The sequence below is a fragment of the Homo sapiens genome, chromosome 13 (assembly GCF_000001405.40).
Source record: "Homo sapiens chromosome 13, GRCh38.p14 Primary Assembly".
NCBI classification, from domain to species: domain Eukaryota; kingdom Metazoa; phylum Chordata; class Mammalia; order Primates; family Hominidae; genus Homo; species Homo sapiens.
In genome coordinates this window covers 112,497,833-112,514,677 of record NC_000013.11, presented here as the reverse complement: position 1 = coordinate 112,514,677, position 16,845 = coordinate 112,497,833, and the positions used below count along the sequence as shown (strand labels likewise).

Below are 16,845 nucleotides of genomic sequence, written 5' to 3'. Positions count from 1 at the left end.
ATTTAGCTCATATCTCAGTAAGCCCAGATTGTATTGTTGATAGTTGTCTGTATCACTGTTTTTGTTAACATTGGCTATTAATTCAAATAAATTGTCAATTCATAGGTGAAAATGGAAGTTCATTTCAACTTTTATGCTTTTTAAATGTTATGCTTTTAAAATGATTGATGAGGGTGAACACTTTTTATTTTTAAGATGGGGTCCCCCTTTGTTGCCCAGGCTAGCCTCAAATTCCTGGGCTCAAGTGATCCTCCCACCTTGGCCTTCCAGAGTGCTGGGATTACAGGCATAAGCCACCATGCCTGGCCTCTTTTTTCTTTGTTTTGCTGTATTATATAGTATTCCCTTTATCTACAGGGGATATATTCTAAGACCCTCCCCCCCACCCCATGGATGCCTGAAACCTCAGATAGTATCAAACCTTACGTATACTGCTTTTCCCCATATGTACCTACCTATGATAAAGTTTAACTTATAGGTTAGGCACAGTAAGTGATTAACAGCAATAACTAATGGCAAAATAGGATTATTTTAACATCATACTATTACAAACATTATGTGGGTGTTATGTCTCTCTCAAAAGATCTCACCGTACTGTGCTCACCTGTTTTTCTCGTGATCTGTTGACCTGATAACTGAGACAGCTACTGAGTGACTAACCGGGGGGTTGGATACGCCATGAATTTGCTGGACAAAGGGTTGATTAACTTCCTGGCTAGGTTGGAGCAGGATGGTGTGAGATTTCATCACTACTCAGAACGGTGCTCAATTGAAAACTTATGAATTGTTTATTTCTGGGATTTTCCATGTGCTATTTCTGGACTGCCGTTGACAGCAGGTGACAAACAGCATAAAGAGAAACTGTGTGGGGGACTACCATATTTCCTTTTTCAGGAATTGTTTTACCTGTGTTTCTGTTGGGGTGTCAGTGTTCTTACCTTTAATAAAGAAGTATTTTAAAGTAGTTCATGGCCAAGCAGCTTCATGAGCAGAAATCAACTAGCTGATTTTGCTAATCCAGCGCGTTAGAAATGTCCTGCTAATGATAAATCTGAAGCAGAGTACAGACAGACCCTGTAGAGAGCTCCCATCAACAGCTGCCACGGGGCCTTGTATGGGCGTGGTATGCAGAGGACAGCTTAGTCTTACTTAAAGTATCAACAGTTATCACCCTAGTGTTTTAGCAATATTCATCAAAGTAGTAACTTGCTTCATGGTGTGCAGAAAGTAGTTACATGTGAAAGTGCTTTGCTGGGGGCAAGAGTTTTTGATCATGATCTACCAAGCAGATCCCACCCATTCCTCATGTAAGATGATCTGCTTTTCACGCCTCTACCAATCCTGGATGGTAGCAGCTTTTTATGTATTTGCCAGTCAGCTGGACAAAACACAGCGGCTAATACTAAAATGGTTTGTTAGAGTCAATTAATCTAAAAAACATTTCTACTACTGGAAACTAAATTCATGTTTCAGATAACATTTCACAAAATGAAATGGACCAATACAGGTAACTGAGCCTGTATTCTTTCTCAGCCTTTGTGTGGGGTGGGGAGGGAACGAATGGAGGCTTTTTCTTTCTCCCTCAGCTTCCCTCCCTTTCCTCTTTCAAAACAGTGGCATTGAAATAATTTGCTTTTGGTCTTTATTAGAAATAAAATCGATCTCTTATGTTCTTGAGGGAAAACAAGGATGCGTTCATCGTTCATGAAGAATCAAGATGAAATTTACGTAGTCAGGTTCTAATAGAAGTCTGATTCAGAAGTAACACTTTCTTAGTTTTCCTCTGGTTTTTAAGACATTAACTTACTCATCTGAGACAAAAATTAAAAATTAATGTTTAGACAGCTTTTAGAGGGCTCTTAAGAGAATGTTAATTCTCTGAAATGGTCCCTGAAGTTCTCAGGGAACAGTGGTTAGTGGAGATTTACGTTTACCTTTTTTTTGAGATGGAGTCTCACTCCGTCACCCAGGCTGGAGTGCAATGGTGCGATTTTGGCTCACTGCAACCTCCACTTCCCAGATTCAAGCTACTCTCCTGCCTCATCCTCATGAGTAGCTGGAATTACAGGTGCCCGCCACAACGCCTGGCTAATTTTTTGTAGTTTTAGTAGAGGTGGGGTTTCACCATGTTGGCCAGGCTGGTCTCAAGCTCCTGGCCTAAGGTGATCTGCCCACCTTGGCCTCCCCCAGTGCTGGGATTACAGGCGTGAGCCACTGTGTCTGGGCCTTTTTTTTTTTTTTTTTTTTTTTGAGACAGAGTCTTGCTCTGTCGCCCAGGCTGGAGTACAGTGGTGTGATCTCAGCTCACTGCAACCTCCGCCTCCCAGGATCAAGCGATTCTCATTCCTCAGCCTCCTGAGTAGCTGGGATTACAGGCATGTACACCATGCCCAGCTAATTTTTTGTGTTAATATTTGTAGCAGAGATGGGGTTTTCACTATGTTGGCCAGACTGGCCTCGAACTCCTGGCCTCAAGTGATCTGCCCGCCTTGGCCTCCCAAAGTATTGGGGTTATGGGCGTGAGCTACTGTGCTCAGCCACTGTTTAAGATGATGGAACTCCACTAGCTTAAAATGAGATGTAAATAATACTACATTTTAAAATTAGAGCTTGTACACTAGACACTCAATTATTTCTTGTCTAAAATGTAATGATAATAAGTTACAGGTTTTCCTTTATCTTTTCTAATCCCACTGAATGAAATGTGCTTTCGAGAGAACGAGTGTCTGAGTAAGTGCTTCCTTGTGTAGGTATTGGAGAGCAGTGTCTGGCTGTGGAAATAGCTTGGTGGGGCCACATCTGAACCAGCAGGTCCCTTATAATTAGAAAGCTTTCAAGTAGAAGGCACTTCGGAGATACCACAGTCAAACCTCCCTAGTGTATAGTGGAGAGCAGCCTGAGACCCAGAATCTGAAAAGGTTGGATTGGCCCAAATTTGGTTTTGGCCCAATATATCGAATAATAAGGTAAATGAAGGTTTAATAGCTCATACTACATTTTTTTTTTGGTTTTCCTTTTAACCATATTGTATCACTTCTAAGATACACATTGCTTTCATGTTCTCAATGTGTCTTAAAGTCTGTGGAGCTGCAGGCTCCTGTGGCCTGCAGCTGCGTAAACCTGGCCCCAGCTCCTCTTGGATCCTGGAGCTGGGCTCTGTGCTCCGGCAGCACAGCCTTTAGTACCGGCCCAGCTGCGGTTCATTGCCTTCAAAAAGATTACACCCTGGATCCACCCTGGCTCTATTTTGAAATGAAAAGTTGCTGTGTTTGCAGAAAGGTGTAGAAATAGCAGTGGAGCATAAATTTGAAATCCATGAAGCACATAATTATTATTGAGAGAAGAACCAAAATGCCACTTTTCCATGTAAAGCAGCACCGCAGATTTTATCTTACCAGGAAAGGCAGGTGCCCGCGGGCCAGCAGTGCCCTGTGAGGGGCCCATCTGAGCGGTGGGTTCAGAGGGTGTTTCCCGCACAGGACTGTGGTCAGGGTGTCTGTCAGTGTGACTGGCAACTGTTTTACTTTCTTGATGATTCATATAATAACGATTCATCTTACAAATGACAGTGTCTTAGACTCAGTGAATGATAAAGGATGAGTTGAAGTTTTTCTCTTTAAAAATTTCTTTGTGTATCTATCTGTGTTTTTGTATCCTGTGTTTTGTATCCTTAATGTGTATCAACTGTCCAGTGTGGCCTTGGCCCTGCAGGAGGTGTGCTTGCTGTTTTCATTGTATGTTTCACTCATCATTCATATGTTTCACTAAGGAGCCAAAAGATCCTTAACAAAAGTCTTTTGGATCCTTAGTGAAACATACAAATACAGATTGGAGGTGCCTGGCTCCAATTGATGGAAACTTTAAGCTGAGCCGTTGGTGCTAGAGCTACATTGCCTGGGGGAGTCCCCACCCCATCACCTGTCTCTGAGGCTGTGTGGCCTCAGCTGATTTCTTGATCTTCTGCCTCAGTTTCCTCATCTGGGGGATGAGGTGGCGACGGCACTTACTTCCTAGTGTTGCAGGATTAAGTCTGAGTGAAAGTACTTGGAACAGCACCTGCCTGTGGTGAGTGCCCCCAAGTTCACTGTTGCCGTGATTACTTGCCTGGGAGAGCAGGAATGCCGATGATGTAAGGATGAGATCCTCAAAGGTGGTTAGAGACTTTGAAAACAATCCTAGGTCTTAACAAATGTCATCTGGATCCTTAGTCTTGAGAAAAATAGATCAGATGGGTACTTTGATAAGGTCACTTTTAAATACAGTAAGGTCACTTTTAAATACATAAATACGGGTTGAGGAGGTGATTTTGAAATTGTGAACAAATTGTTTTAAGGTCTTTTCTAAAAAAAACAAATATCATGTTTAGCAGTACTCGATGCTATCTATAGGGGCATCTCCGCATGTGAGGGGGTTCTGGCGGAAGGTGCCTGAACAAGTCCTTAAGAGCCGGTGTTTGAGTCAAACTTGAAGTTCTTTCGACAGCCTTTAGGGGTCAGTGGAGAATTACAGAAGAGCCTGGCACTTAGCTGCTGCCCAAGCGGGAGGAGATAGTGGCTGCCCAGTTTTGTGTATCGGCCGTCCAGTGTGGCGTCGGCCCTGCAGGAGATGTGCATCCTGTATTCATTGGACCTTATTGCCAATGTTGCTTTGCTTTTGGGATTCTTATAATTATATAGTTACTTGTGGGTCAGCCATAAAAACACATTTAAAACATGTGCCTAAAATATATTTTCAGAGTGCTGGGTAAAGAGATCCTAGGCATGTTGGCAGGTGTAAATGGAATTTTTTAGGAACTAAAGGACTAATTGTGCCTTGTGAATTGAGTTCATAGTCATTACAGCCTTAGAGTAGTTAGAAGTTCAGAAATACTATTGCCTGTAGTGTTTAATTTCTCATTTGGGAAAGAAAAATAATTGTGATATTGTAGGGATTTCAGACTTCTGTCATGTGGATGGTTTTACGAGGTTTCTTTTCAGTAGCAGCGTCCTCAGCAGCAACCATATGTCTCTCACTGTCAAGGGGCTTTGTCTCAAAAGAAGACCATTGAAGATACTGTCCTCCGTACTCATTGTAGACACAATAAAAGATGATTTTTCTAGAAGGAAAACTGTATTCGCTGGTAGTACTTTAAGACTGTAAAAGGAAAGAACACCTATATTCACATTGTTGCTAAATTGACCTTGCTTATAGAAACCTTTTGAAAGGTGTGAGTTTGAGTACTCAAGATCTGGAGGAATGCAGACTGCCTGCTCTGACGTCCAGTGTCAACATCACGCATTCTTTCAGGAAATCATCATTGAGGGCCCACTTAGTGCTCCCTGTTGCTGGCTCCCAGTGACAAGGTGACAAACCAGCTCCCTGTGGCCAAGCAGCTCATGGCCTATTAGGGCAGAACAGATGTTTACACAGGATCTTACAGTCAATCGATACGGGAAAATCCAAGTGGCATGGGAATGTTTAAATGAGGCATCTGACAGACGTGGGTGATTCCAGAAGGCTCCAGAGGTGATGGTGTCCAGGCTGGCCCCTGACAGGTGAGGATGAGCTGTTCGGGTCAGTGGGGAGGAGAGCAGCATGTTCAGCTAAGCTGTGGAGGGGGACTGTGCTGCAACATGGGGCTGGAGAGCCCAGCCACGAGCACGTCCTGAAGGTCTGGATTCAGGTAGTTGAGAATAATGAACCTGGGGCGCGACCGTGGTGATTAGCAGGGCAGCCAGTTGTAATAATCCGTGTGCGGTGACGTTGGCCTTTATGGTTACAGCAGCCGCGGGGCTGGAGGGAAGGGAATGGATTTGAGGGAGGCTTGGGCTGTGGCGCCAGCAGGACCAGGTGATGCGTGTACGGAGGCCAGGAGGTGGTTGGAGTCTCAGTGGCACCTGGGTCTCTGACTTGAGGACCTGGTGGGTGGTGGCATCTTTTACCACCCAGGGAGCACTGGAGGAAGAGCTTCTTTGGGGGGGATAGTGATTCCATTCAAATACGCTAATTTGAGTATTTTTTAGGATACCTTGTGAGGCCATTAATCAGACTGATCTTAAACTTAAGATAGATCTAGACTAGAGGTAAAGATTTTAGATGTCATCAGCCTGGATGATACTTGAAGTTGTGGAGTGGAATGTGGAAGGGACATCAGTGCGTGGGAACTGCAGTCTCACAGGGTGCCGTGGCTAGGAGGAAGATGGGGTTGGGGTGGGGGCTGTAGACCTGTCTGTCGTGGTGCACGATACCTTTTCAACTAACAGGCCCCTTCTGGGCTGCCATATGGCATCTGAAAATTTAAAGATATACTACAGAAGAGTTGGGCAAAATCAAAGTCAAAACTTCTAACGAAGTTAGACGCTTTGTTTGTTGGAAGGCTGTTTGAGATGCCGATATGGAGAAGGAGGGGGAGGCTGAAAATCACAGAGGAGGAATAGATGGATTCAGAGTGAGGGGATACGGGTTGGCCTTTTAAGTGTGTGCTAGGAGGGAGAGGCGGGCTTGGAGTGACTAGGGGGCACGAGGGATACAGGCAGAGCCAAAGCCATGACAGCGAAGCAATGCAAACCTGGTGGGGCCAGGGCTGCGGGATGCTGAGGCTGGGAGTGAGGGAGAGAAGGGGAAGGCCCCAGGCAGCACTGGGATGGGCTGGAGTGGGATGTCAGGAGTTTAGGCTGACACTGAGCATTGCATGACAGTGTTGTTTGGTAGATGGGTTTGTTTTGTTTTGTGGCCATTCAGTAGCATTTTTATTTCCCAGTGTGACATTAAAGAATCTAGAACATTAATCAGAGAAATTGTACACTCAAGAAAATCAAGAGATTCTGAAATAGAATTAGTGATTTAATCACTAATCACTGTGTATCTACTTTCAGACTGATTTGAAGCCGGAGAAAAAAATTCCTGGTTTCATAAATAGCGCAACAGTGAAAAGTAGAAGACGTTAGCAAAAGCATATTCGTGCCATGAAAAATCGGCATGTTACTCAGATGCTGCTGGCTTGACTGACCCTGAGAAGAATTCTGGAGGAAGCCTCAGAAATGCAGGCGGAGCAGAGCAGCACAGACCTGAGCTTTCATGGGACTGAGCCGCTTCTGTCACCCACAGAGCACCCAGCAGGAGCTAGAAAATGGAGAATAGCCACAAAAAATTTGTATGCTTCTGTAACAAATCTAGAGTCCCTCAGAGGAAGTGCTGATAGTAGCCTGCTTCGCATTTTTAGGTGACGGTAAACTTTCAGGTGAAGTTTCCCCTTTCATTTTTAGATGAAATCTAGTTTTGTCATTCAGCTTCAACCTTCTCTGAAGGAGGTCAGGATGAATAAGTATAACCTGGGTAGTTGCTTGAAAAGGCTAGAAAATAAAACAGATTGTGCTCACTGTGCACAAGTGCACAGCAGTGCTAAATTTTAGGATCACACTGAGCATGTACCTGGGGAAGGGTCGATGGAGACATCGGATGTCAGGGTGAGACCCGCGAGTCGTGGCATGTGACTTGTAGAATTTGTCCATTTGTTTTCCCATGAAAAGATCCACCAGAGTTCTGTGATAATATTAACATAAAAATACAAAAACCTTCCACAAGTGGTTTCTAAACTATTTCATATAACTTTGCTGCACTGGAAAGAAATCAAATCACATCTGAGAAATAGCTTGAGGACAAATATATGTACACTCTGTGCACCTGTAGAATGTTTTAAATACTCACCATTCTCCAGGGAAGACTGGCTATAGATTTTCCATTACAGTCCAGTGACTTCAGTGGGGTAAGACACAGTCCTCTCATTTGAGCTCTGCGTTAAAACCTAAAGTTGAGTGCAAGTGGTGGTTACTGTCCTTAGAATCTCACCGAAACCATAACACGGCTGAACATCACTTAAAACAACACTTTATTATGCCCCTTTACATTGAAAAGGAATTGTAGTTTGAGGGGTTTTGAGTATTATTTGATTTGAAATCTTAGACCGTATTTATAGTTTTAGTAGGGAAAAGTACACTCATAATTCTAGGATTTCAGATGAACCTCAAAGCTGAACCCATTCTTCGGATGCACATTGACCATATCTGTGTGTTGTAGATTCCTAATGGCAAGAAAGATACTTGGGGTATGTGGAGTGCACGCTGTGCTACAGGAGCCCCATGAGACAGATGCTCGGCAGATGTCACAGGTCTGAGGGCAGCTGGGTCTCTTCTGAGGGTCTTAGAGCTGAGAGTGCATCTCATGACTGTGGACGCTATAGTTCACTGTGTTTAACTGTCTGCGGAGCCATGTAAGGAGCGCTGAGGATTCTTTGCAGAGTTGTAAACTTTGTAAGTAAATCTTAGATATGCCTCTGATACATCAGTCATAGCCATTGGCAGGGGAGGCGCTTGAGCCCTTGAGTGGGTGTGCTCCCTTGCGAGTCGCTGGGCGGTGCATGGATGTGGACGAGGGCCCTTTGGAGCTCTGGTTGGTTAGGTTGCCACCTCCTGCCTGTTTATTGCCTGAGGGACAGTGTGTCATCCCTCTCTTTAACAAATGAATTTTCTCCATCTGAAAGGTGCATTGTCTAAGTCTGCCATCAATGATCCCTAACTAAAAATTCTTCTGCCTCCTTGAAAGCAAGTTCTTTTTTTGTCTTTTGAAATTTATTTTTTTAAACATCGTTTGTTACTGGCTGCCATATATTTCATTTAGGTGAGTGCTGGTATATAATGTATATCACTGTCTGCTTTACAACTCTCTGGCTCTCCCTCACCTGAGCCTCTGTGTTCGAGAATTCTAGCCCCTTCCCGAGACCCAGGCACCGGGCAGGTGAGGGTGTCCTTCTCTGTAGTACGTCCTCCTCCTTTCCCAAGTGCACGGCGCGTCCCTGGAGACCGGGTGCCAGGGTCGGATGGCGATGCTGCCTGTTAGTGGAATCTGTGCCTTCAGACAGCGTTCATACAATTCACATATGTATTTCATGCTTGTATAAGTTGATCGTCTGTTTAAGAATTTACATTTTTATAAGGCTTAGAATTCTATCTCCTCCTCTCCCACTTTTCTTTACTGACGAAGCTGTCATGTGTTAAACCAAGAGAGCAAAACTGCAAGGTGTCAGTTGATCTTTAACTTACAGAAAGAGTATTTTTTAAAAAGTATGCATTGCCACTGTTATTTTTACACACCTCTATAAAGAGGCTTAAGTTCCACTTCTTTACTGTCTTGAGAGGAGGCAAGACTGATGTCTCACACAACTGCATGCGTAGCAAGTCTTGATCTCGTTATCGAGGTAACTCATTGAGGGCGTTTGAAGCAGTAACAAAACATGTCCAAGCTGACCCGTGTTATAAAGCCTTTTTGTAATCACCTCACTGATGGGCCTAGCTCTGATTTAGCCATCACATACATTAGTGTAACAATATGCTGCCATAGTCTTTGAACAAAAAAATTAAAAGTGCGAGCAGAGAACTGTGCTCTGTGGTGACCTTCCAGCCTGGTGATGGCTGTGTGATCTCCTAAAGGATAAAAGGAGAGTCTGAGCTCGTCGCTGACCTCCCTCGAGGCTCCTCTTTCTCACAGGCGGTAAGGCCACAGTCGGTTCCTTAAAGAAATGTCACCTTTATCTCCAGAGAGCCAGGGAATAGTAAATGTTTCATGCACAGCAGGCAAACTAATTGTAAAGCCATGAAGTAGAGCTTCTATTTATTCAGTGCACTGCGTTATTATAAAATAAATGTTTTGTATTTAATTTTTAAATACAATTATATTTTGTTTCATATATTTGTTGTTAGGCCCTTATTAGGTAAAGTAGTATAGTACTACTTGGTTAGATAGCTAAGTTCTTGTTTAGCTTGACCTGCACAGAAATTGGTTCTGGAGAGGTTGTTTCCTGTTAAGGGGTCAAGAATTTAAATGACTGATTTTTTGTTTTAAGATAGCTTGCAGGTGGGTAAGGGAGAACAGCGCGTTGTCGGTAAGTGTACTTGCATTGCACCTCTGACGTCAACTCTTCCCTTGCAGAGTTCTCCGGGGTGCTGCACCAGTGTCACATTTTGGCCTCTGAGATGGTCCATTTCATTCATCAGATGCAGTATTACATCACATTTGAGGTACACTTCAGTCATTGTGTTGATTTTAGTTTAAATAAGTCATGTCTTGGCTTTTACATGGTATATATATATATATATGTGTATGTATGTGTGTATATATATGTGTATATATACATAATTTTTTCTTTTTTTTTTTTTTTGAGATGGAGTCTTGCTGTCGCCTAGGCTGGAGTGCAATGGTGTGATCTCACCTCACTGCAACCTCTGCCTCCTGGGTTCAAGCGATTCTCCTGCCTCAGACTCCTGAGTAGCTGGGATTACAGGGGCCCACCATCACTCCCAGCTGATTTTTGTATTTTTAGTAGAGACGGGGTTTTGCCATGTTGGCCAGGCTGGTTTCTAACTCCTGATCTCAGGTGATCTGCCCGCCTCGGCCTCCCATAGGTGGTATATATTTTATGAGTGATGCTACACTAGGAAGGACATGAGCTTATCTAGCGTCTTTAAATTGTTGTTTCCCAGGTGCTTGAATGTTCTTGGGATGAGCTTTGGAACAAAGTCCAGCAGGCCCAGGATTTGGATCACATCATTGCTGCACACGAGGTGTTCTTAGACACCATCATCTCCCGCTGCCTGCTGGACAGTGACTCCAGGGTAAGACTCCGACCTGCTTAGAAACAAGAAACCAAAAGAATCATCTTCTTTTCTTGGGTTCCTGTCAAATGGGGGAATCTTAGAAATGCCCTGATGCAGCCACATTGGTAATAATTCAGATAATTTTATTAAAAGTTTACTGTTGAAGGTACAGTTTCTGAAGAGAATTGGAACAGTAGTGCAGTAGTGCTGAAACAAGAATATACTCTAAACTGGATGTAAAAATGGTAGAAAATAATAATACCTTTTCATTTTCTAGATATAATGGTATCCTATTGTGGTATTCAAAAGAGAAAACCATGACTTTTGAGTTGTTGAGGTTAATATCTGAGCAAAATAAGCAACACGATATAAGAACAAAACAGGCCGGGCGCAGTGGCTCATGCTTGTAATCCCAGCACTTTGGGAGGCCGAGGCGGGTGGATCACCTGAGGTCGGGAGTTCGAGACTAGCCTGACCAACATGGTGAAACCCTGTCTCTACTAAAAATACACACTAGCCGGTCGTGGTGGTGTGTGCCTGTAATCCCAGCTACTTGGGAGGCAGAGACAGGAGAATCACTTCAACCCGGGTGGCAGAGGTTGCAGTGAGCCGAGATCACGCCACTGCACTGCAGCCTGGGCAACAGATCGAGACACTGTCTCAAAACAACAAAACAACAACAACAACAACAAAAAACCATGGTGACATGTATGACATTTTTCGCGAACATTCTTTTCCCTTAGGGTCCATGTTCTGAAAGTTGCACGTTCCATGTGGCAAATCTTCCTGGAGTTCTCCTTTTATTCTGAGGTCTGGGACAAGAAGGAACCACATTGCTTTCACTTGAAGCAAATATATTGTGAAGTAGGGGGCAAATTTCAAATGCATTTTTCACCTGAACTCCGAGACTTCACGGATGTTTCCGACTGGCAGGGGCTGCCTCCAGCTGGGCCTGCACTCTCCTCAGGGCCTGTCAGTGGAAAACACGCCACTTCAGGGCCTTTACTTCATCTAAATTTTAGTATATGTAGGTTAGCCAGCCATGAATTTCATTATTAAAGAACTATCAATCATGTCAAAAAATGGTTAAGATCAAAGCTGCTTCTATATGGAGTGTTTTACATGTTTTTATAAATATGTGGAAATTATGTCAGAAAAATAGTTTAAAATACTTTGAGGATAATTAATAATTAAAGAAATATACAGGCCGGGGGCAGTGGCTCATGCCTGTAATCCCAGCACTTTGGGAGGCTGAGGTGGGTGGATCACGAGGTTAGGAGCTTGAGACCATCCTGGGTAAGACTGTGAAACCCCGTCTCTACTAAAAATACAAAAAATTAGCCAGGTGTGGTGGTGGACACCTGTACTCCCAGCTACTGGGGAGGCTGAGGCAGGAGAATGGCGTGAACCCGGGAGGCGGAGCTTGCAGTGAGCCAAGATTGCGCCATTGCACTCCAGCCTGGGCAACAGAGCGAGACTCTGTCTCAAAAAAAAAAAAAAAAAAAAAGAAGAAATGTACTTCTTGAGGTTTGAGGCCCTTGAAACCTCTATTACTAACCCTGGTCTTGTTATCGGAGTAAAACCACAGACGGTTTCATGCTGCCTGCCAGCCGTTGCCTCTCTGTATTCAGCAGATGCCGACAAGCATTGTCCGCACACGTTTAGGAAGTCAGTGTAACAAATAGCTCTCTGTTCCTAGACCCGTGTGCTGTTGGCCAGCACGGCCTGTCTCACGGTGCAGTCGCATGGCAAGACAGACACAGGCTCTGCAGCCAGGTAGACCGAGGGTGGAGTTTCACTTCATAGCTTTTGACTCCAGTGTTCTGTTTTAAAAGGGCATGGTCCTAGTCTCTTCAACAGATTTGTAAGAATTGTATAATTCAAGTATAATGTTGACCATAGTGGCTGGCAGATAGGTGTTAGTTGCTATTTTGTGCCGGTGTGTGTGTTTTACAGAGGTGTTTACAGTCATTAGATTTCATGCATTTCAGAAAATGTTTGAACTACTGAGGACTATACCCATACTGATATCAGTCCAGTTGTGGCAAATAAGTAACACTCCACACAGCTTACGGAGAATGTAGGAGACTTAGTCCACTTACAGATGTGAACCTTCTGTACGAGATAAATTGTCATAGCTTTTGCCCCTAGATGATTTCCACTGGTAAGAACCCTATCCGGGGGAGAAAATCTTCCCACCTGTAGCACAGTGCCCTTGTGAAAGTGGGAAGCGGGGTCTTCACGTGTGCGTTGGTCCCACCTGACGTCGTTGAAGGTGTCATGCCGGAGGCTTCATGGTCATTTCTGAACTTGCCTTTGCTGATGGCTTTACTCTTTAATTTGATGATTTGTTTAAAATGAGCTTTAAAAAAAAATAAATAAACCCAGTATGTAAAGCAGATTAAAACAATCTATTATTGACATAAGCAATTTTAAGTATAACATTTTTATTATGTCACTCACTAAGAAAACCAAGGCGGTTCTGATACATATAATCTTGAAGCTGGAGGCTGTGCATGTTTTTGTGTTTTTTTGTTTGCACATTGTTGAGAGAAATTGTGAATTGCAGAGTGAATTGGTACCACTGATGTTGCCAAAGAATGGCCTCCTGCAGGTGCCCTGTGTGGACAGATTGCCAGCAGAGCCCTGCCTGGCAGCCTGAGCTTGAAGTCAATGTCAGTGGGTCACCTTGTAGATGGATTAACTCTTCCAAACATAATAAATTATTCTTTATTAGACTACATAAAGAAACAAATTAGATAAATCTTTACTAAAAACAACAGATTAAACCGTCTGTATCTTTTATGTTGCTTATTTAAGACCCTGTCAAAAGGACAGAACAGCTCTAAGATGAGAACTTGTAAGATGGAAGATGTGTTTGCCGCATTAATCACGTGGTGGTTTTATGTTAGGAACAGCATCCCCTGATCACATCCTTCTATCATTTGCCAAATCAGTCCACATTGTTTTTGTTGCCATGTAATCTGAAGACCTGGTTGCATAAGTGCATTGTAGTAAGTGAAAGAGAGCATGGGCTGTTCACTGCCGAATACCAAGTTCTCCTGCATCAGTTTGTTCCAAAACCCATTCAGCAAATACTCATTTCAGCTTTGTCTCACTTGAGATCAGACATCAGTTCAACTCTGAACGGTGCTGCTGTGACTTAGCAAATGAATTTTGAACCGAAGCATCGCCATGCTTTCATAACGGAAAATATTTTTGCAGAATAGTATTAGTCCATTAGACAATGGGTGATGAGAAGTGGCTTTGCAAATGTCTTCATTAACTGTAAAGTTGTGTTAAAAATAGAGTTAACTCAACATCTTAGTTTCTCCCCAAATCAACTGTATTGTGTCTTCCCAACCACAGGCTTGGAACCTCTCCTGTTATCTCGGTTTCTTTTATGCTTCTCAAGTACAGTTGTGTCATTTTTCTCCTATAAACTTGCAAATCTTTTGTTACATTATTGCTACATTTGAGAAATTTGGCTGGTCTGAAATGGTATTGATTTTGTTATTTCGATCTCTAATTTTTCTAGTCTAATATTTTCTTGGCGCATATTTTTTATCAGTAAAACCAGTTTTGTTTCTTTCATTTCACACAGTCTGCCTTTGCTTCTTTTTCACGCTTCGGAGTGTTAGCTAGGCTGACTCTAAGCACAAAGGGAATCCCAGTCTTATTCCTGACGTTAAAATGATGCTTTGTTGCTTCATTGTTGGCTGTTTTGTTTGCAAAGACATCTGATAGGACCCTTGTCAAGCTAAGAGGGTTCTGCCCTAGTCCTAGTTTGCTTAGATGCCTTATTTAAATTATGAGTGGGTGTTGAATTTTATCACAATTTTCTTCTGCACTATTGAAATTAACCCCCGCTCAGCCCTCAGACTGTTAGTGTGTTTTTTCAAACCTAAGATGGCAGAGGGTAGAGTTAACCTTTCTCTTCAGTCATAGCACACTGCCATCAGTGGTCCGTGAAAAGCCTCTCATATTTTGTTGGGTTTAATTTTATCCCCTTCCCTGCCAATACCCCAATTCCACCCTCCTCTGCCTGTACCCCCTTCCCTGCTGTTTGCATCAGCTTTAATGTATTTGCTCTATGGCCTTGGGTATATAGATGGTATTTTCTGTGTATACATTTTTAATTTATGTAAATGATTTTGTGCTGTAGATTTCATTGTGTCCTTCCATGCCACAATAGGAGAAAGATTAATGAGGTACAGTAGTTGTTTACTGAAGATTACTGGGCAGTAGTTATAAGCAATGAACGGAAGATACCTGCTGTGACACTGATATTTGTTTAAAACATTAGGAGTTTTTTCCTCATGTTAAGGTATCCTTTTATTTCTGGTATAAACTATGATACATTTTTTAAAAACCTTGCTGAATTTGCTTTTTATATTTTACTAAGTATTTCCTTTCTCATATTTTTGATTACCTGCTTTTGCTATATCTAAAAAAAAAAATGGAGATGCTTTCCTATTCTTTTTTCAATCTTGGAATAGTTCTACTCATTACTACCTGCTATCTAGCTTTGAAATTTGGGCAGAACTTCATTTTTGTAAACTTGTGAGGATTGGAGGTGATTTGCAGAGAGCTCCTGGCCCGCCGTGGGACTTGGGCAGTCACGATTGCTCTTGTTACGGGTGCAGGTGCAGGATGGTCACGTTTTGCTGGTGCCCAGCACAGCGCTGCTCAGCAGGAGGGTTCAGGAAATGTGTGGTGAGGGAATGAATGAACAGCTAATGAACACTTTGGGAATTTCAGTTGATATCTTGTTTTCTAATATCTTTTCACTAAATATCAATGTTTTGTTTAAGAAACTTAGCTGGTTGAGGCTCTATTCATAAAACATTGTCATCTCTTTCAGGCACTTTTAAATCAACTTAGAGCTGTGTTTGATCAAATTATTGAACTTCAGAATGCTCAAGATGCAATATACAGAGCTGCTCTGGAAGAATTGCAGAGACGATTACAGTTTGAAGAGAAAAAGAAACAGCGTGAAATTGAGGTATGGTCTTTACACTTGTGAATTTATCTATTTGAATAATGAACTCCTTGCCACACACGATAATCTCAAATGCCAACAAATAACTTTCTTGCCAAAATTGTCAGACAGGTTGAGATGTGCCTATACTGCGTTTGAAGTCCCGAGAAATCACTGACAGTTGTAAAGAGGGAGGGGCCACCCTCACTGGCATCATCATCCTGTTTCACAAAATAAATAAAAACAGCAGCATTCATGAGAATTACAAATCTCCTGCCCGTTTTCATTACTGAGTGCCACAATGCCGATGTCACCCGTCGGAATCTCCACAGCTGCCTCCGCTCTGCATCACTCTGTGTTTGAAGCTTGTGGATCGTGCACCATGCTGCATTTTGCAAACGTGTGCATCTACAGGTGCTCCTCAACTTAGAGCAGTCTTATGTCCCAATGAGCACATTCTACACTGAAAGTGCATTTAATATAATATAGATGGAGCATCCCTAATCTGAAATACAAAATACGAAATGCTCCTAAACCCGAAACTTTTTCATCACTGACATGACGTCACAAGTGGGAAATTCCACACCTGACTCCTTTGCTTTCTGATGGCTTATTGTACACAAACTTTGTTTCCTGCAGAAAATTATAAAAAATATATAAAATTACCTTCAGGCTACTATGTATTTAAGGTGTGTATGAAGCATAAATGAATTTCATGTGTAGACTTGCATCCCCTCTCCGAGATACCTCGTTATGTATATGCAAATACTGCAAAATCTGAAATTCAAAATACTTCTGGTCCCAAGCATTTCAGATAAAGGATACTCAACCTGTACCCCAATAAACCCATCGTTAAAGTAGAAAAAATCTTAAGTCAAACGATCTTAAGTTGGAGACCTTATATGTATGTTTATATACCTGTAATGCAAGTATATATGTATATATAATATGTATAGGTATATATGCATGTGTATGTGTTTGTGTGTGTGCTTTGCATATATGTGTGTTTACAGGTACATGCATGTGTGTGTGTGTGTACATGTATATGTACATGAACCAAATTTCTGTACTTAACGGTTATTTTCAGATTTATTAAGCAAGTTTGGCTGTTTATGGGATTTCTTTTATTTACTATAATCTGTTTAATCTTTTACTTTTTCAGGATACAGTCATGTACCACATGATGTTTTGGTCAATGACAGACTGCATATATGACAGTAGTCCCATAAAATTATA

The 16,845-nt window shown here is 42.4% G+C and overlaps 1 protein-coding gene across 10 annotated transcripts in view, besides 1 other annotated feature; it reads left to right on the top strand.

Annotated features, from left to right (window-relative positions):
* Positions 1-16,845, top strand: part of TUBGCP3 (tubulin gamma complex component 3) — a 120,620-nt gene that overhangs the window by 90,953 nt on the left and 12,822 nt on the right. For 6 of the 10 annotated variants that reach the window (XM_017020323.3, NM_001286277.2, XM_011537462.3 and 3 more), the window contains 3 exons: positions 9,964-10,052; positions 10,515-10,646; positions 15,493-15,633. In XM_017020323.3, coding sequence (XP_016875812.1) covers positions 9,964-10,052; positions 10,515-10,646; positions 15,493-15,633 — 362 coding nt within the window. Of the gene's footprint in view, positions 1-9,963; positions 10,053-10,514; positions 10,647-15,492; positions 15,634-15,737; positions 15,872-16,845 lie in introns of those variants that run through there. The other 4 variants (XM_047430036.1, NM_001286278.2, XM_047430037.1 and 1 more) reach the window with 2 other exon arrangements.
* Positions 6,140-7,058: an enhancer, noted in NCBI's record as "H3K27ac-H3K4me1 hESC enhancer chr13:113161934-113162852 (GRCh37/hg19 assembly coordinates)". NCBI's record gives its function as "activates a minimal SCP1, AML or CMV promoter by ChIP-STARR-seq in naive H9 embryonic stem cells {active_cell/tissue: H9 hESC(naive)}" and the evidence as "EXISTENCE:reporter gene assay evidence [ECO:0000049][PMID:30033119]".